Source organism: Homo sapiens, chromosome 1, assembly GCF_000001405.40.
Source record: "Homo sapiens chromosome 1, GRCh38.p14 Primary Assembly".
Taxonomy (NCBI): domain Eukaryota; kingdom Metazoa; phylum Chordata; class Mammalia; order Primates; family Hominidae; genus Homo; species Homo sapiens.
Window position 1 is genome coordinate 84,957,540 of NC_000001.11, and position 21,414 is coordinate 84,978,953.

The 21,414-nt window shown below is 39.6% G+C and overlaps 1 protein-coding gene across 8 annotated transcripts in view, besides 1 other annotated feature; it reads right to left on the bottom strand.

Annotated features, from left to right (window-relative positions):
* The window catches only part of MCOLN2 (mucolipin TRP cation channel 2), a 71,531-nt gene that overhangs the window by 31,957 nt on the left and 18,160 nt on the right, over positions 1-21,414 (bottom strand). For 5 of the 8 annotated variants that reach the window (XM_005270719.4, NM_153259.4, XM_047416964.1 and 2 more), the window contains exons 2-3: positions 8,010-8,169; positions 990-1,163 (exon numbers count right to left, since the gene is read on the bottom strand). In XM_005270719.4, the coding sequence (XP_005270776.1) occupies positions 990-1,163; positions 8,010-8,162 (327 nt within the window). In that variant the 5' untranslated portion in view covers positions 8,163-8,169. Of the gene's footprint in view, positions 1-989; positions 1,164-8,009; positions 8,170-10,483; positions 10,939-11,264; positions 12,056-14,396; positions 14,496-21,414 lie in introns of those variants that run through there. The other 3 variants (NM_001330647.2, XM_011541188.4, XM_011541187.3) reach the window with 3 other exon arrangements.
* Positions 12,313-12,392: an enhancer, noted in NCBI's record as "active region_1261". NCBI's record gives its function as "activates an Ori minimal core promoter by ATAC-STARR-seq in GM12878 lymphoblastoid cells {active_cell/tissue: GM12878}" and the evidence as "EXISTENCE:reporter gene assay evidence [ECO:0000049][PMID:35858748]".

Here is a 21,414-nt window from a genome sequence, read left to right on the forward strand (position 1 = left end):
CAATCCTCACCTTGCCATGTCCATCAGTCCTAAATTATTATATCATCATCCTTACCTAATTCTAATCAAGCTCCCCTCACATTAAAGAACTCCCTCCTCACCCAAGGCAAGATGGCCTCTGATCAATATAGCATCTCCCTTACCACTCTAAGTAATAAGCTCAGCTTTGCTCATCAACATGTTTTTTGTGTGGTATTCTCAGGGAGCTAGCATTTGATATTACACATTTCACTTCTTTTTGTCTAGCTCTTCGTTCCAGAATTAAGCTCTATAAAGGAAGGCGCTTTGTCTGTTTTATTCACTGATGCATCCTCAATGACTGGAATAACACCTGCTACATATTAGATACTTCAATATTTATTGAGTGAATGAAAAAGAGCAGGAACAGTTTCTCTTTCCTAAATTATTTCTTCAAGTCTACTAATCTGCTTTCTCATACCTGTCTAGATACAACTATTTTATATTCCATATTCTTAAGATTCAGCTAGGGTTATTAATGCTAAAACATCACAATTAAGGCCACAGAATCCCTGATTTTTTTATTTATTTACTTATTTATTTTGTAGAGATGGGGTTTCACAATGCTGCCCAGACTGGACTCAAAGGATCAACCCACTTTAGCCTCCCAGAGTGCCTGGATTACAGGCATGAGTCACTACGCCAGGCTGGAATCTTTGATTTTATATTAAGCTTTCATCAAGCCTTCTGAGATTAAAAATCTACTCTTGCTATTTGATCTGGGGTAATTTTCCAAAAGCAGTAGGTATGAAGTGATAAATTAAAAAGATAAATATTTTTTAAAAAGTCAAAATAGGCAAACTCTTTTGTGTAGAAATGTAGCTTCAGAAATAGCAATAAACATTTTTTGGCAGACTGCAAAACTTACATTAGAATATTTTAACATGTGTATAATTTTTGTTTGTTGGCTAAGACAAGGCCAAGTATCAATACATTGTTAAAGTATAGGTCATTCACAACAAAACACTTGCCTGATTAATAGCAAAAAAGATGCTCTCATAGGCATCCTCTTGAGTATATACACTGCAGCTGTAGTCATCTTCATCTGTACCAGAATATCCTTTCAAAAACAAGTGCTTAAAAGCAACAGTGTTATCTTCTTTGAAAGCAACCACCAGCTGGTTACTTAAACCAAAACGAACAAGCTAAAAAATAAAATAAAATAGAAACACATGAATTACACCATTTATCAGGGGAGGCAAATGTCTTCTCACTATCATCAACCATTACCTATAAACATCAGAAAATAATATCAATTTTTTTTGGTTTATACTAATAGCATCAATGTCAAAATACAAGTCCCACAGAAGAATAACCTCATCAAGCTACATCAGCAATTCAAAGTAGCATAAAATTAGAAGAGATTACTGCTCCCAATGACTACTGACTCTACTGGCCTTTAAGAAAGAAAGAAAGAATCCAAATCAGCTAAGTCTCAATCCATTTTTCTTATATTTGGATTTCAAGTTAATTGTTTTCAAAATCAATTACTTAGTAAAGCAGTAACTCATTGTATTGATTTAAGATTTAGAAATTGTAGTATTTTTTAAAATCACAACTATGTTTTACATATGGCTTTTAAAAGTGTTTTTTGAAAAGTAGCCTACATAAAAACTTACTCCAGCTAGGAGGTAATAGTTGTCAAAAGAATTCAATTAATTCAGCTCTGCAAGAATTCTGTATAAAATTTACACCTGAGAGTTTCCCTCACCAAATTCTACAGTATCAAAGCACATGAAAGAATAACAGAGCATGCTTTACTTGTATGATGTCAAACCCATTCATTGTCACCAAGCATCCACCTACTGAAAAAATGCCCACTTATTCTCCCTTTCACTGTATTCTGGCAGAATTTAGGCACCCAAGGGCTCTCTTCACCAGAAGTGAAAGTTTTCTTCTTGGAACCCAATAAATGGAGGAAATTAGTCAGCACCAAAAGTTTACACAAAACCTAGGAAACTACACACACAGCTACACACATACCTCATCACACACGCACTCTCACACGCACATTCACACTCTCTCACGTGCGTCCTCTCTGTCTCTCTCACATACATACACAGGCAGTGACGGTAGTCAAATCTCTATAAGCCCTGTCCCACACACCTTTCCCCACCTCCCTAAGTGATTTCTTCAGCTGCCTTATAAAACAATGAGACTAGAAAGTTTGCTCCAAGTCCTCACTCAACTAAGCCACCAAATTTTGGGACTGTTTTCTTCCTATGTAAAATTAGCAAGTGTAACTAGATGACCCTGACAGTTCTGTTATTTGTTGTCATTCCATGGTTCAATATGATACATCTGAACAATAATATACAAGATACAATTCTGAACAATTCAGATAAAACTAATGTTAATTTAGCTGGGTGAGGTGGCCTGTGGCTGTAGTCCCAGCTGCTTGGGAGGCCGAGGTGGGAGGATCACTTAAGCCCAGGAGTTCAAGGCTAGCCTTGGCAATATAGCAAAACCTGTCTCTAAAAAAATAAAGTAAAATAGCTAATATTAATTTGCATATGCAAACAACATACAGGCATACGGTTTTTTCATGGTTTACATTTTTTAGCTTTTATATTTTGTTGTTTTAAAAAATACTAAAGAATTAGGAAAAATAATCACCATTTTCAGCAATTATTATATGCCAGGTACTGTGCTAACTGCTTTACATGCAGTGCCTCATTTACCCCAAGCGGACTATGAAAATGTTACTACTGTTATTCCATTTTACATACGTGCAACCTGAGATTTAGCCTCATTAAATTGCCCAAGTCACCAGAATGGAAGCCAAGTCTAATTCCAAAGTCATCTGTGTTATGCTATAAAAACAACTTCCTTCTGCTGAAAAAGTTCTTTAGGATGCTTCTTATAATGAACTTAAGTGCTAGCTTTTCAAAATTAGGAAAGGCAACTATCGCTTGAGAAGGTACACAGATGCTACTGTTCAGCATTTGAGTCTCACCATGTCACATTCCTCAAATGCCATGTCAAAGGATTGTGCAACTGCTAAAACTCAGCTATTCTAAGGAAAACATCAGATAAGAAGTCCCACATCATCCAGCTTGTGCTGAAAATTAAGCAACAGAAGGTTATAAGTTCTTCTAAGCATGTGATGTCTGTCAATGGTGCCTGTAGGAGAAGCCAGAAAAGGTCATGTTGCTCTTGAAAGCTAAAATGTAAACCAGGGAAGCAACACATACATGATTGCTTCAAAGTTTTATTAAAACTACTGACACATATGAAAAAACTGGTACACACACCACACATGAATGAAGTTCTTCAATCAAAGTTTGCTGAGTGCTTACTCTAAGCCAAGCTGGTATACAACGTGGAAAAGAACACTGCATGGTACGGAATAACAACTCTTATCTGTTGAGAACCAGGCATTGTGCTAAAATTTATAATTATTATTTCTCATTTAATTCTCAACACCCTATTATTACACTGGGCTCTGCAAGGACAGGAATGTTTTTCCTTTTTCCCTGCTATTATATACTCAGGAAATGAAATAATGCCCATCACAATGTCAAACACTGAATCAGCTGATGAATATAATCCCATTTGATACATATGCAATCTGAAGTCAAGTAATTTATCCAGGTTGGAATATCCAGAAAATGTTAGAGTAAGGATCTGGACCCAGGTCTGATTGATTCTAGAGTCTGTTTGTTCTCTCAACCTCTTGGCCCCACAGCCTCTTAAACTGAAATGCTGCCAATTTAACTCTAGAGGCAGGGATATTAGACCCATTCCTCCCACATTAATAGTGAAGCTAAAGAAATAAAAAAAAATGTAAACTAGGGAATGAAAAAACTGACCATGAAAGTGGTATATAGTTTGCTGATATTTGAAGCCATAACCTTAAACTCAAAGCTCATCAAAACTCAGCTTTGGGGATGAGAGGACTCTGTTGTAATCTCTGCTTGGAACCTCCCCTATCTGGCATCAGGAGCAAGAAATTTCCTCCATTCTATTCATAGAACAAGCCAAGATAAAAATGTATGGCCCAGCATTGGGGAAGGTTGGGAGGAAACTGCGAAGTCCCTTTCTTGTTATGACAGAACCAAACACTCCCTGCAGAGTAAGAGTAAGGGAAGATGGTATTGGCCAAATGACTGGGTTTTTTTTAAAGGCATTGACAGCAAAATGCATCCTAGTCCCACTAATTAGACATTAAGATTTGCTGAGAGTATGATACAAGACAGAAAAATAATTACTTATAAGTGTAGTCTGGCAAAGATTGTGAATTTAAGACCTCATTATGAAATCAATGTAGGATAAAATATTCTGTACCAGGTAAAAACAAGATACTGCTCTAATTATGTACAAAGGATATGGGAGAGAAAGAGTAGAACTAGCAAAAGAATGTAGACACCTCTCTCAAGATTATAAATTACTGCACAATTCAGAGCAGGAATTTTAAAAAAATTTTCTTTCTCATCAGTCCTCATACCCATCCCATTAGACTTGAGGATGAAACACAAAAAGACAGAAAAAGAGAGGGAGGGAAAAGTGAGATATTATGCAAGGAAAGGTGATCAAGAAATCTGCTCCAATTAGATATCACCCAAATAGCAAAATTTGTTAGAATGATCCTATATGGAAACAAAAGTTTAATCCTTCCCAATTTTATTAGGGGAAACAGGGTATGCCCACATGAAAAGTAAACTACAGTTCCCAGAAATATTTTGTTATTTAAAGTAAAATTAGTAGGCTGGGCACAGTGGCTCATGCCTGTAATCCCAGCCCTTTGGGAGGCCAAGGTGAGAGGACTGTTTGAAGCCACAAGTTCAAATCAAGTCTGGGCAACAAAGCAAGACCCCATCTCTACAAAAATAAAATAAAAAGCCAGGTGCAGTGGCATGTGCCTTTAGTCAGCTGTTTAAGAGGCTGAGGTGGGAAGATCTCTTGAGCCCAGGAGTTCAAGGTTGCAGTAAGCTATGATTGTGCCACTGCACTCCAGCCTGGGTGACACAGAGAGACCTCATCTTGAAAAAATAATAAAAAATAAAATTAGTCATGTAGACAGGAAGAAGTACCAAAGAAAACCATGTGCTGGATGGTCAGGCAAGGCCCAGTGGGGGAGATGGGACTTCAAATAGTACCTGAAAGGTGAGGGAGAAAAAGAATCACCCCGGACTTGGACGAACAAACAAGATGTGGAAGAGAATCATTGGGTTGGCCTGTCTGGCTGGGATTTGGGTAGGAAATAGTAGATGAAAACTTGTTGGAAAGACAAGTTGAAGGAGACTGGAACTCTTTGAATTCCTGGCTAGAGAGGTGAAATTTTCTTCTTGGGAAGTAGGGTTTTATAGGAGTTTCTGAACAGGAGAGTGACACAATAAAGTCTATTCTACGAAAAATTAAGCTGATATTAGCATCGAATGTATATGGATAAGAAAGGTAGGCATAAGACAAAGCTAGAAGCTGCCTAATTAACTTATCTATATTCCAACACTGCAAACTCTGAGGACAGGACCTATATCTAGAATAGAAACAGTCTGAGAAGAGTACAGACTCCAGAGCCAGACTGCCCAAGCACAAATCCCAGTTCTGTCACTTACTAACTGAAGGATTGTAAGCAAATTACTTAACTCCCTTTGCTCCAGTTTCTTCATCCATAAAAAGGGGATTATAATTGAACCTACCTCACAGGATTGCAATGAGGATGAAATGAGTTGAAGTACATAAAACATTTATTGTGCCTAGGACATGGCAAACACTAAGCTAACTGTTAGCTGTCAGCAGCACTGGTAATACAGTCACAGTTGTATTCCCAACAGAAGGCCCACAATATGAGATGCTTCACATTTATTTTTCATTAACTAAAGAGTCTGTGCTAGAGAGAAGATAGTGAGTATGGGAAAACATAAATAGATGCAGTTTTGAAGGAAGAATCAATAAGATTTAGTAGGTATCAGGAAAAAGAAGGTAAATCCAAGATGGTGATATGGTTTATATTTGTGTCCCTGGCCAAATCTCAAGTCGAATTGTAATCCCCAATGTTGCAGGAGGGGCCTCCTGGTGACAGGTGACTAGATCATGGGGGTAGAACTCCCCCTTGCTGTTCTCATGATAGTGAGTGAGTTCTCATGAGATCTGGTTGTTTAAAAGTGTGTATCACCTTCCCCTTTGCTCTCTCTCATGCTCTGCCATACGAAGATGTGCCTGCTTCCTCCTCGCCTTCCCCCATGATTGTAAGTTTCCTGAGGCCTCACCAGCCATGCTTCTTGTACAGCCTGCAGAACTAAGTCAATTAAATATCTTTTCTTCATAAATTACCCAGTCTCAAGTAGTTCTTTATAGCAATGGGAGAACACACTAATACAGATGGCAATGATATTTTATGCCTGGGTAAATTAGAATTTTAGTAACGTTAATAGATCAAATAATTGAAGGAAGTTGGTTTAGCAAGAAAAGATTTTGGGAAACAATTAAAATTAACCAACTGAAAAAAGGGGACATTATTTCTTCTCCTTCCAAGTAATACTAACAATGTATCAATGTATCTATTTTATTGGTTGCCAAGACCAAAACTTCAAAACAAAGAATGAAATAAGCTAACAATAAGCATACACATTTAACAATGTCTCTGCATCTCAACCTTGTTGTTTCTTTTGAAGTAACTTGCTTTCCCTAAACTTGAGCTGGTACACATGGCATGTCATATACTGAAAACCTCTTTATGAACACAGAATAAAGAAGCAACTCTAGTTATGGCAGGGACCGTCTCCCATTTCTAAAACTAAAGGTATTTTTAAGTATTTATTTTTATGTTCCAGAAATAACATCTTTACACACCTCTACACTGATAACAGAATGATTATTTGCCAATAGAGCCAAATATCCCCAATCAGTTTAAAAGGGCGTGTGTTTCAAATATGGTTAACTACAGCAATGATCCCCAACCTTGTTGGCACCAGGGACTGGTTTTGTAGAAGACAATTTTTCCAGGGACTGGAGTGGGGCAGGAGTGGGGGGGGGTGGGTAATGGTTTCAGGATGATTCAAGTGCATTACACTAGTTGTGCATTTTATTTCTATTATTACCACATTATAATATATAATGAAACAATTATACAACTCACCATAATGTAGAATTAGTGGGGGCCCTGAGCTTGTTTTCCTGCAACTAGAAGGTCCCATCTAGGGGTGGTGGGAGACAGTGACAGATCATCAGGCATTAGATTCTCATAAGGAGCCGCACCTAGATCCTTCGCATGTGCAGTTAACAATTGGGTTTGCGTTCCTATGAGAATCTAATGCCACCACTGATCTGACAGGAGGCGGAGCTCAGGCAGTACTGCAAGCCATGGGGAGCAGCTAAAAAAACAGATAAAGCTTTGCTCCCTTGCCTACCACTCACCTCCTGCTGTGCAGCCTGGTTCCTAACAGGTCCGTGGCCCAGGGGTTAGGGATCCCTGACCTACAGAGAAGCCTCCCCAATACTGGTTCAGCAATACAGGCCCCAAAACTAGAGGAAAACTCTGATGGCTGTTTTGATCATGGTAATAAAGAGCTCAATAATACGAACTTGAACAAAAGGTCTAAATGTAGCTTTTGTATAATCCTGATAGCGCCTGGGATCAGTATTTACTTAGATAGAGCACACTGTTATGATAAAAGGAAAACTTAGGATTCTATAAGTCTGAAGACAAAAAAATGCAGATTTTGGAAGTATATTTGAATAAGCTGTGTTTAATAGAGAGTTCCAGAACACAAATGTGTGTCACTCAGATATAGAAACCCCTCCCCACAGATCTGCATTTATTCAGCATTTATAGAATCTGTACAGAGAGGCCCTCAGGATCTCTTACTATGACAAGGTTGTCTTCTAAACAGAACTTCAACCTAGCCTCTGCTCTCCAGAGTCAATATAATTTTAGTTTTATGAACTTGAGTGTGGGCTTTTCAGAACAAAAGTCAAGTACAGAACACATGAAAAGAGTTTTGTCTTGTGGTAAGGGAAAAACCAAATGAAATAATAAGATAGGTTACCTGTGTGGTGACCATGACTATCTTCAAAATCTGCAAACCCAGTTTCCACGGAATCTGGCGTCTGGCTCGGTATTTTTCACAAGGGCTCATGAAGTAAAACTTCAGGTCTTCCCTTAGACATTCTTCTTTCATCTCAGAATCACGATGTGCCATTGCATTTCTGCCACAGAAGATTAATTTTAAATATCCAGGAAAGCCTCTCCCTCAGTTCCTTTTGAAGTAACTTGCTTTCCCTAAACTTGAGTTGGTACATATGGCATGTCATATACTGAAAAGCCTCTTTATGAACACAAAATAAAAAAGCAACTCTAGTTATGGCAGGGAGGTTCTCCCATTTCTAAAACTACATGAAAAATTATTCCAGACCTTCTACCTCCTACCTTTCCACACAGCCACCCATCTTGTTCAAAATGGCCAATCTCGGCCAGACGTGGTGGCTCACACCTGTAATCCCAGCACTTTGGGAGACCGAGGCGGGTGGATCATTTGAGGTCATGAGTTCGAGACCAGACTGACCAACATGGTGAAACCCCATCTCTACTAAAATACAAAAATTAGCTGGGTATGGTGGCGGGCACCTGTAATCTCAGTTTCTCGGGAGGCTGAGGCAGGAGAATTGCTTGAACCCAGGAGATGGAGGTTGCAGTGAGCCAAGGTCACGCCACTGTACTCCAGCCTGGGTGACAGAGCGAGACTCCCTCTCAAAAAAATTAAAATTTAAAAACAAAATAAAAAAAACAAAATGGTCAATCTCAAGAATTATAAAAATTGGATTTTACTTACAAGACTCATCAATTCCTACATCTTAACATAGAGCATTCATCTGTCACTACAGAAAGTATGTATGTTTATGTTTGTGTGAGTGTGTGTGTATGAATTGTAAGTGAGTGAGTATATGAACAAAAACCAGACAGGACATTTTCATGATACTCCAGGTATGACATTACAGAAAATTAGTATAAACAAACGGAATTAGATTGTTATGGAAGAAGAGAATCTTTGTTCTGTAACTCTGTACTGAGAGAAGGACTATGACTCCTTTTTTGGATAAAATATCAGTGATTATATGATTCCAGAATATAAATAGCTTCAAAAAGATAAATAGCATCTCTCTATTTAAGCCTACTCAGATATTTGTCACTTTATATTAATAAAATTTTGCTTTTACTATTTCAAGGACTCTGGACTCAGGAATGGGCACATGACTCAAGGTAGGCCAAAAAGAACCAATGAGACATGGTTCACAGGACTGTTATTGTAGTCCCCAAAGTGGAGTGCCGAAAACAATCCATTGGGAGTATAAAAAATATTAGTATTTCTATTTTATTATTTATATTAAAAACTAAAAATTGAACTCCATAATTAGTACAACATAGAATATACATACAACACAGCAATATAACTTACAGCATATGTACACCATAACAAAGAATATACATTATATAACACATAAAAGTAGTATCCAGTAGCATATCATATATAAAGAAATATATACACATTGGGACTATTATGCTCAACTTTTACTGTTGGGTACATAATCAACAAAGTTTGGAGATCAGTGACTTCAAGCATAGACTGTGAGTCCGGAGTTCCTAAAATCCATCTCACCACCAAAGGAGAGCTTGTCAGAGACTGAAGGTCAGGTAGACAGGCACTATGCCTAATGACAATATTTGAATTCCTGGATCCAGCTATTCCTGAAGTAATCCATCCCAAGTCTTTCCATTTGAGTCAACAAATACCCTTCATGGCTTAAGCCAGTTTGAGTTTGACTTCTTGCCTTAGGAAGTATCTTGATGGTAAGGGTAAAGAATAAATTCTAGTAAGTTAGGCTAATCATTCAAGTTACTCATTTCTTGGAAAGGTTTTATACTTGTGGGTCATTTTTTAAGGTTCTGTTTACTGGAAATATGTAAGTGACATATTTTTATACTGACTGATGATCTATGTTATCTGCCTTGACTGACGAATCTAAAAGAATCCTAAAAGGGGATGCCCATTTTAAAGCTTATTGTCAGTTGTTAATAATTTACTATTTCTAAATAGATTTTTAAATCTCCTGTTTCTAGTATTAGTGGGCTAAGTTATTCAGAACTATCATGCTGGAAAGGAAGGAAAAGAGGAAAGAAAGAGAGAAAGCAAGGAAAGAGGGAGAGAAGAAGAGAAGGGAAGGAAGGAGGGAAGGAGAGAGGGAGGGAGGGAGGGAAGGAGAAAAAGGAGAGAGGGAGGGAGGGAAGGAGAAAAAGGAGAGAGGGAGGGAGGAGAGAGAAAGTAGTGGAGGGAGGGAAGGAAGAAGGGAGAGAGGGAGGGAAGGAAGGAAGAAGGGAGAGAAGGAGAGAGGGAGGGAGGGAAGGAAGGAAAAGAAAAATCCTAGATACAATACATTCTTCTTGAGGAGGGTGAAGAAGTACCTTTAAAAGATTGAAGAGTTAAGGAGAGCAAGAACTCCTGGGTCAATCTTGGGGGATACCTACACGAGTAACAGCCAGTTGCCACCATTCAAGTACACTCAGCTTCCGTTCTGTGGCCTCAGGAAACGGGAACAAGAGAGCCAAGATTCTAGGCCCAAAGGCATCAAAACTGCCTGTCCTCAAATTTATAGGACTACAGAGAAGGCCAGAGTGGTTCCAAATCAAAGAAAAGAAAAAGGAAATTTAAAAATAGACCCATCCTGATAAAGAATGCCCATAAACCAGGCCATGATTAAATAAGGCTCATAAACCTTTGAGCCTTACACCTGGGTGAGCCAGGGAACTTCAAACTGTGGGCCTGCTTGGTTCTGGAGGACCCAGACTGGAACTGTTCTTCATATCCCCGGAAACACCCACAGAACTCTGTGTCTTAGGTTCATCCTAAGACTTGGCACTCTAATAAATAACTTATAAAACACAATGACAAACAGGTAGTTAAATATAACTAAGCACATGAGGAAACCAAGTGACATAAAACAGACTAAAAACAGAAACAGGACTAAGCATATTGGAAATTAGACACATTAGAAAATAACCATGCTTACCATCTGTGATATTATGACATACATACATGTTGGTTTTTGTCCGCAGCTCCTAGCTCATAACTCCCATAGCTTTTGTTATACTGTTGAGGCGCCTTAAGGCCTCATGAGCAGGCCTCAGAAAACATAATCTCTCTGACCTTCTCCTGATCTCCTTTAACCTGCTCCTTCTTGTCCCAAAGACAGGCATCTTCCCCACCTTGCTGTGTAGGAGCCAGCCATAAAAAAATTCTCTGACCTACCCTGTCTGATTGTAGGTCACAAGACTCCCATTTCAGAAGGGGTCCTGCCCCAAACCCTGGAAGAAGGAAGGCTGCACAGAGAGGCCAGAAGGATCTGAACAGACAGGCCTTGCTGGGTTTCCCTCATGCAGTCTATTAGTGTTTGTTCATACCCTTTTTGTCCAGTCACATTTCTACATGGTTGTCAATCATACCTATCCAATAAAGTCTCCATAAAAGGCCCAAGAGGACAGGGTTGGGAGAGCTTCCGGAACACATGGCAGTTCCTGGAGGGTGTTGTACCCGGGGAGGGCACGGAAGCTCTACACTCCTTCCCCATAGCTTACCTCATGTATTCTTCACTGTATCCCTTGTAACAACCTTTACAATAAACCAGTAAATGTGTTTCCCTGAGTTCTGTGAGCCTCCCTAGCAAATCATTCAAACCCAAAGAGGGAGTCATGGGAACCCTAACTTGAAGTTGGACAGTCAGAAGTTCCAGAGGTGGCTGGGCACGGTGGCTCACGCCTATAATCCCAGCACTTTGGGAGGCAGAGGCGGGTGGATCACCTGAGGTCAGGAGTTTGAGACCAGCCTGACCAACACAGTGAAACCCCATTTCTATTAAAAATACAAAAATTAGCCAGGTGTGGTGGCACATGCCTGTAATCCCAGCTACTTCGGAGGCTGAGGCAAGAGAATTGTTTGAACCTGGGAGGCAGAGGTTGCAGTAAGCCAATATGGCACCACTGCACTCCAGTCTGGATGACAGAGTAAGACTCTGCCTCAAAAAAAAAAAAAAAAAAGAAATGAAAAAGCAATCACCACAATGAGTCTCATTCAAAAGAATGTGAAGGCCTTAAACATGTGTTTGTCCTGAGCCTGACACACTCACCTCTTGACTCAACTTGACCAACTTAATGAGCACTTAGTCCGCGGAGCAAGCACTGTGCTGGGTACACAAGGCTGAATAACCCTGAACTGCACATGCTTAGTGTCCAGTAGAAGAGAAAGACTTGTCAATGCATAATTATTAAAGAGTTCCGTGAATGCTGTAAAATAAGTAAATATTACGGAAGCAGAGTTCTGACTCTGGAGAGAGGGGTGAGAGAGCTGGTGGGAAAGCCCATAAGAGTCATAATAGACGATGTGGTAAGTGCTACGGGGGCATGTGACTGGGCGCATTGAGGGAGGCATTTCCAAGAAAAAGGTGCATCTTAACTGTGCCTGAGAGCAACATCCTCAAACATGAACTTTCAGATCTCCTGAGAACATGCCTGTAAGAAGCCCCTGTGGGCATGTTTCAGCAATACTGAATTTAGTGTTAATTGCTATCACTGTAGTGGATCAGTGTTGCTAAAGCATCCCTCCTGATGACTCAAAATATGCTTTTTCATTTAATAAAAAGAGTATATGAAATGGTGTACACTGAATTCTCAGGCCCTTGAGAATAAAGCCATAGAAACTACCCCCCAACTCCCCCCACCCCCCAACACACACACACACAGCCTCTGGGTGAGAAACACTGAACTGAAGGACGAAGAAGTTGTTTTCTCGAAACAGTGGTGCAAAACAAGGCATTTAATCAAATACTTAAAGAATACTGGCCAGGCATGGTGGCTCATGCCTGTAATCCCAGTACTTTGGGAGGGTGAGGTGGGTGGATCACTTGAGGCCAGGAGTTTGAGATCAGCCTGGACAACACGGTGAAACCCCATCTCTACTAAAAATACAAAAAAAAAAAAAAAATAACAGGCATGTGTGGTGGCACACGCCTGCAATCCCAACTACTCAGGCAGCTGAGACACGAGAATAGCTTGATCTCAGGAGGCAGAGGTTGCAGTGAGCCAAGATTGCACCACTGCACTTCAGCCTGGGCAACAGAGCAAGACTCAGTCTCATAAATAAATAAATATAAATAAAAGAATACCTTGTGAGCCATGCTCTGCTGGAGACATTTTCCTGCCTTCCAGGAGCAAATGTGAATAGATAAAAGAATGATACAATGAGTTAAGAGTTATACTGGAAATATTCACTGAGTGCCCTGGAAACAGAGAGTGCTTGATGCAGCCCAATTGCTTCAAGAGGCTTCAAATAATTCTTCTGACTGCTGGGTTCCTTTGACTGAGTGGCCATTAAGTGTTCAAGAAATGATAACTGATGTTAGCATTGCCCTAAGAAACTTTATTAAGAAGTCTCAGGCAAAAAGAAAAGAAAAAGGTCAAAGTAGCAGATAATGACTGTGAGATCACTCATTGTGTTACACTATTTATACTATCTATCCTTCCATAATTGTTTCATTTGGGTATTTACAGAGCAGTTGTAATACTTTTAGCAATATGAAAGATGAAAAATGAAAAAACTAGCAGGAAAAACATTTCCCTCAAGAGTACATGAGCCAACTAGTGAAATACAAGCTAGTACTAGTCAACTGATGAAAAAATGATAGACATGTAGGGGGAAAGAGTTGATAATGAATAATAAAGGTGCATGATGAGATAGCTGTTTTTTAATAAACCTAAGTTTTAAAATAATATGTACATTTGGGAGGAAAAGATAATGAAATTTAAAAATTTAAAAATTTAAAAATTCTGATATTTCAAGGAAAATATAAATGTATAAACTTTCTAAACTTTACTTTTCTGAGGGCTCTTTATTGCCTCCCTCTTCCCCATTTGTAGGTTTGTCCTGGTAGATGAAGGGTATTAAACAGACATACACACACACACACACACACACACACACACACACACACACACACACGATATCTTATTGCTATAACAAAAATAAAATGGTATAAAAATGGTGCAAAGTAAAGAGGGAAAAAAATTTTAAAACAGAGAAAGAGAGAGACAACACAATATCATAGAAATAAAACACTCTTTTATTTAACACATATTTACCCTATATACCTTGCAATGCTGAACACCTGGCTGGGGGTTTTACAGGAGTCTTAAATTACAACCAGGCTTCATAACCAAGAATTAGGTCAGCAGAGGCTGGGCATGGTGGCTCATGCCCGTAATCCCAGCACTTTCGGAGGCCAGGGCAGGCAGATCACTTGAGGACAGGAGTTCAAGACCAGCCTGGCCAACACGGCGAAACCCTGTCTTTACCAAAAATACAAAATTAGCTGGGCATGGTAGCACAAACCTGTAACCCCAGCTACTCGGGAGGCTGAGGCACAAGAATCACTTGGAACCCAGGAGGCAGAGGTTGCAGTGAGCTGAGAATGTGCCACTGGACTCCAACCTGGGGGACAAAAACAAACAACAACAAAAACAAACAAACAAAAAAATTAAGTCAGCAGACGGCAGAAATACTGCAACTTCCATCACAAATGAAAATCACCAACAGTTTAAGAAAAGCATACAGCTGCTAACTTGTGGTAACATAAGTCAGGAGAATGAAAGTAACTGTACCGTAAAACCACTTAAGGAACAGAAATCAATGAAGATCTAAATTACACAGACCCATCAGCTACAGGGCTGTCATGCAATTGAAATTGCATGAAATAAATAAGAGCAATCACAGCTTTTATGAATTATTTATGTTTCATTAACCCATAGGAAATGCATGATCTGGATTTTTATAAGCTTAATAATGGCAGCACTAAAGAACAAAATATCAAAGAAAAAAAGCATAGTATTTGAAGGCATAAAAATAAGATCTGAAATAGAATAGAAAGCCACCCATACAGTGGGTTAAATAAAAGCCAGAGATGCTGGAATAGAAAATGAAAGAAAAGAAGGCTGAGACTGGTACTGTGGTAAGAAACCAGGAGGAAGGCACAACAAAGCTACTGTCAGGTATTAAGAAAACCTACTGTCTCCACAGATAATCAGGACTATGAGGTTGGCATTAAGAAAACCTACTCTCTCCACAAATAATCAGGACTGTGTGACATTGGCTAAGTTTAAGGCTATCATATGATCAAGGGCAATTTCAGCTTTATCAAAACAATGACTAAGAGTCTAACGGAAGCCTGAAGTTTTGAAACAAAACAAGATGTCAGTGATTCTTAACCTTATTGGGGTTATAAACCCCTATGAGAACAGAAAAAGGCTCTTGACCTTTGCCCCAGGAAAATGAATACACCAGTTTCAGTGATGGTATTTTGTCAGCAAATAAGCTAACCAGCCCAGGATGCTATTGCCTTTGGCTTATGTGATCCCCCTACTTGACAAGGGGCCTGAAAGTTGTTTTTATCCCCTGCTGCAGTTGTCTCCAAAGTGGGGTCCTTGTGCACAAGGACGTATGCAAGACCATTCACTGGTATGTGAGAAGAAACTATTAGGGCTTCTAATTGTGTTAATTTAGAAAATAGAGAAGTAAAGAATTCCCAAGATTTAATATATGAATTGTTACCTATCACACCTAAGGTGCCCTCACTCGGTCAGTAACATCTGATGGGACTGACACAGTGGCTCATGTCTGTAATCTCAACACTTTGGGAGACTGAGGCAGGAGGATCACTTGAGGCCAAGAGTTCAAGACCAGCCTGGACAATATAGTGAGACTCTGTCTCCACAAAAACTTTTTAAAATCAGCCCAGTGTGGTGGTGGATGCCTATAGTCCCAGCTACTCGGGAGGCAGAGGTAGTAGATTCGCTTAAGCATAGGAGTTCAAGGCTGCAGTGAGCTATGATTTTGCCACTGCACTCCAGCCTGGACAACAGAAGGAGATCCTGTCTCAAGTAAATAAAACAAAACAAAACATCAGGTGCCTGTGTTTCACTTAGGTATGTGAGACATCCTGGGGAAATTGTCAAGTTTCCCAAATTAGGGGGTTCATGGTGGTACCCCCATTGATTTTCAGCATATTCCCACCAGTTATGTTTTATGTGGGCCCACTTAAGCATTTTTAGAATGTATCATCTAGTTTCCGTGGAAATAACCCTTGCGAAATAGGCAAAGGACATAAAGATTCTTGCAAAAGCCCAGAAGGTGGAGCAAGATGGCAGAAGAGAAGCCTCCACTGATCATCCTCTCACAAGAGGACATCAATTTAACAACTATCTATGTAAGCAAAGCACTTTCATAAGAACCAAAAATCAGGTGAGCACTTGCACTACCTGCTTTTAACTTTGTATTGCTAAAAGAGGCACTGAAGAGGTAGAAAAAACAGTCCTGAAGCACTGATACCACCCTTCCCCCAGCCCCAGCAGTGGCCACCTGGTGCGCAGAGTGCCTCTGCATGCTGTGGGAGGGAGAGCACAGCAATTGTGAGGCAGTAAACGGTTCTGCCCGGTTAGAGCAGAAAGGAAAACTGGACCAAATTCAGCTGATGCCCACCCACGGAGGGAACATTTAAACCAGCCCTAGCCAGAGGGGAATCACAGGTCCTTGTGGTTGGAACTTGAGTTCCCACAAACTTCACCACTGCAGGCTAAAGTGCTCTGGGTGTCTAAGTGAATTTGAAAGGCAATTTAGGCCACAAGGACTGCAACTCTAGGCGAGTCCTAGTGCTGAACTGGGCCCAGAAACAGTGGACTAGAGGGGCATGCAATCTACCAAACTACCAGGGTGGCTAAAGGAGTGGTGACATCACCTCTCCCCTAACCCCAGGCTGCACAACTAGTGGCTCCAAAAAAGATCCCTTCCTTCTGCTTGAGGAGAGGAGAAAGAAGAGTGGGGAGGACTTTGTCTTGCATCTTGGATACCGGCTCAGCCACAGCATGATAGGGTCAGAGTCATAATGCCTCTGTTCCAGGCCCTAGCTCCTGGGCAACACTTCTAGGCACACCCTGGGCCAGAAGGGAACCTACTGCCTTGAAGGGAAGAACCCATTCCTGGCAGCATTCATCACCTGCTAACTGAAGAGCCCTTGGGCACTGAATAATCAGCAGCGATACCCAGGTACTACATCTAGGGCCTTGGGTGAGCCTCTGAGACTTGCTGGCTTCAGGTTCATCTCGGCTATTGGGGGGTGGAGCAACAAGTGGGCTCCTGGAGTCCCCAGTTCTAAGAGCTGACTCTTGGATGGCATTTCTGGACCTTCCGTGGGCCAGAAGGGAGCCCACTGCCCTGAAGGATGAGTCTCAGGCCAGACAACCTTCATGACAAGCTGACTTAAGAGACCTTGGGCCTTAAGAGAACATAGTGGTAGTCTGGCAGTACTGCCCATGGGCTTCTGGTGGTGATGACCATGGGGAAGGTCTCCTCTGCTTTTGGAGGAGGGGAGGGAAGAGTGGGAAGAACTGCATCTTGTAATTTGAGTGCCAGCTCAGGCACGATACAATAGAACACTAGGTAGACTTCTAAGGTTTTTTATTGTAGTCCCTGACTCCTGGACAGCACCTCTGGACCCAGGAGGGTCCTGGGGGAGCTCAGCATCCTGGAGGGAAGAACACAGGCCTGGTTGGCTTTGCCGCCTGCTAACTATAGAGCCCCAGAGCCATAAGCAGACACAGGAAGTAGCCAGGGAGTAGTTACAGCCGGCCTTGGGCAACACCCAGTGCTGTGCTGACTTCAGGTCTGACCCAGTGTAGTCACAGAGGTAGTAGCCACAGGGGTGCTTGTGTCACTCCATCCCTAGCTTTAGATGGCTCAGGACTGAGAGAGAGACTCCATTTGTTAGGGAGACAAAAAGGGTAGAGAACAAGAGTCTCTGCCTGGTAATCCAAAGAATTCTTCTAGATCTTGTTCAAGGTGGTAACTCCATGAGTCTATAAGAACCACAGCATTACTAGGCTTGGGGTGCCCTCCAAAGCAGATAGAACTTAGATCACAATGCCCAAGTCCTTTCAAATATCTGGAAAGCCTTCTGAAGAAGGACAGATAATAAAAGCCCAGACAGTGAAGACTACAATAAATTCCTAACTTTTCAATGCCCAGACACAGATGAACATCTACAAGTATCAAGATAATCCAGGAAAACATGGCCTCATCAAATGAATTAATAAGGCACTAGGGACCCAATCTTGGAGAAACAGAGACAGGTGACCTTTCAGACAGATAATTCAAAATAGCTCTTTTAAGGAAACTCAAAGAAATTCAAGATAAGACAGAAAATTCAAAATTCTATCAGATAAATTTAACAGAGATTGACATAATTAAAAAGAATCTAAAAGAAATTCTGGAGCTGAAAAATGCAATTGGCATAAGGAAGAATGTATCAGAGTCTCTTAATGGCAGAAATGATCAAGCAGAAGAAAGAATTAGTGAGCTCCAAGACAGGCTATTTAAAAATACACAGTCAGAGAAGACAAAAGAATAAAGAATAAAAAACAATGAAGCATGCCTACAGGATCCAGGAAATAGCCTCAAAATGGCAAATTTAAGAGTAATTTGCCTTAAGAAGGAGGAAGAAAAAGAGACAGGAGTAGAAAGTTATTCAAAGGGAAATAACAAAGAACTTCCCAAGCTTAGAGAAAGATATCAATATCCAAATACAAGAAGGTTATATAGGACACCAAGCAGATTTAATCCAAAGAAGACTACCTCAAGGCATTTAATAATCAGACTCCTAAAGATCAAGGTTAAAGAATGGATCCTAAAAGCAGCAAGATAAAAAAACAAATAACATACAATGAAGCATCAATACATCTGGCAGTAGACTTTTCAGTGGAAACCTTAAAGGCCAAGAGTGAGGGGCATGACATATTGAAAGTGCTGAAGGAGAAAAACTTTTATTCTAGAATAGTATGTCTGGTGAAAACATTCTTCAAACATGAAAAAGAAATAAAGATTTTCCCAGACAAGGTCGGGTGCAGTGGCTCACACCTGTAATCCCAGCATTTTGGGAGGCCGAGGTGGGTGGATCACGATGTCAGGAGTTCGAGACCAGTCTGACCAACATGATGAAACCCCGTCTCTACTAAAAATATAAAAATTAGCCAGGCATGGTGGCGCAGGCCTGTAATCCCAGCTACTGGGGAGGCTGAGGCAGGAGAATTGCTTGAACTCAGGAGGTGGAGGTTGCAGTGAGCAGAGATCATGCCACTGCACTCCAGCCTGGGTGACAGACCAAGACTCCATCTCAAAAAAAAGATTTTCCCAGACAAACAAAAGCTGAGGGATTTCATCAACACCAGACCTGTCCTACAAAAAATGCTGAAGAGAGTACTTCAATCAGAAAGAAAAGGACATTAATGAGCAATAAGTAATCACCTGAAGGTACAAAACTCACTGGTATCAGAAAGTACACAGAAAAACAAAAAATATTATAACCCTGTAACTTCCTTGTGTAAACTACTCTTATCCTAAGTAGAAAAATTAAATGGCAAACCAATAAAAAATAATAACTACAACAACTTTTCAAGACATAGACAGTACAATAAGATATAAACAACAAAAAGTTTAATAGTTGGGGAGACGATGTTAAGGCATAGAGTTTTTATTAGTTATTTTTTTTGCTTGTTTGTTTATGCAAATAGGGTTAGGTTGTTATCAGCTCAAAATAATGGTTTATAAGATAGTATTTACAAGCCTCATGGTAACCTCAAACCAAAAAATATACAACAGATACACAAAAAGTAGAGCAAGAAACTAAATCATATCACCAGAGAAAATCACCTTCATTAAAGGAAGACAAGAAAGAAGGAGAGAAAGAAGACCACAAAACAATCAGAAAATAAATAAAGTGGCAAGAGTAGGTCCTTAATTATCAATAATAACATTGATGTAAATGGACTAAACTCTCCAATCAAAAGACATAGACTGGCTAAATGGATGAAAAAAAAACCCACTGATCTGTTGCCTACAAAAAATACACTTCACCTATAAAGACACACATAGACTGAAAATAAAGGGATGGAGAAAGAAATTCCATGCCAATGGAAACCAAAAAAGAGCAGGAGTAGCTATGCTTTTGTCAGACAAAACAGATTTTAAGACAACAACTATAAGAAGAGACAAAAAAGTTCACTATATAATGATAAAGGGGTCAATTCAGCAAGAGGATATAAGAATTTTAAATATATATGTACCCAACATTGGAGCACCCAGATATAGAAAGCAAATATTATTAGAGCTAATAAGAGAGATAGGCCCCAATAAAATAACAGCTGGAGACTTAAACACCCCACTTTCAGCATTAGATAGATCTTCCATACAGAAAATCAACAAAGAAATACTGGACTTAATCTGCACTATAGACTGCATGGATCTAATACATATTTACAGGACACTTCATCCAATGGCTACAGAATACACATTCTTTTCCTCAGCACATGGATCATTCTCAAGGACAGACCATATATTAAGTCACAAGACAAGTCTTAAAACATTAACAAAATTGAAATAATATCAAGTATCTTTTCTAACCACAACAGAATAAAACTACAAATAACAAAAGGAATTTTGGAAACTATACAAATGTATGGAAATTAAATAAAATGCTCCTGAATGACCAGTGGGTCAAGAAAGAAATTAAGAAAGAAATTTAAAAATTTCTTGAAACAAATGATAATGGAAACACAACCTACCAAAATCTAAGAGATACAGCAAAAGCAGTACTAAAAGAGAATTTTATAGCTTTAACTGCCTACTTCAAAAAAAAAGGAAAAACTTCAAATAAACAATCTAATGATACATCTTATAGAACTAGAAAAGCAAGAGCAAACGAAACCCAAAATTAGTAGAAACATAAATAAAGATCAGAGCAGAAATAAATGAAACTGAAATAAAGAAAATAATACAAAAGATCAATGAAAAAGTTGGTTTTTCAAAAAGCTAAAAAAAATTGACAAAACTTTAGCCAGAGAGAAGATCCAATAAATAAAATCAGAAATGAAAAAGGAGACATTACAACTGATACTACAGAAATTCACATCATTATTGGATACTATGAGCAACTATATACCAATAAATTGGAAAATATAGAAGAAATGGACACACACAACCTACCAAGATTGAACCAGGATGAAATCCAAAACCTGAATAGACCAATAACAAGTAATGAGATCGAAGCTGTAACAGGAAGTCTCCCAGCATAGAAAAGCCCAGGACCTGATGGTTTCTGTATTAGTCAGGTTCTCTAGAGGGACAGAACTAATGGAATGTATATGTGTATAAATATATATATACACACACACACATATACATATATACATATATAATACATATATTAAGTATTAACTCACATGATCACAAGGTCCCACAATAAGCCATCTGCAGGTTGAGGAGCAAGGAGAGCCAGTCCGAGTTCTAAAACTGAAGAACTTGGAGT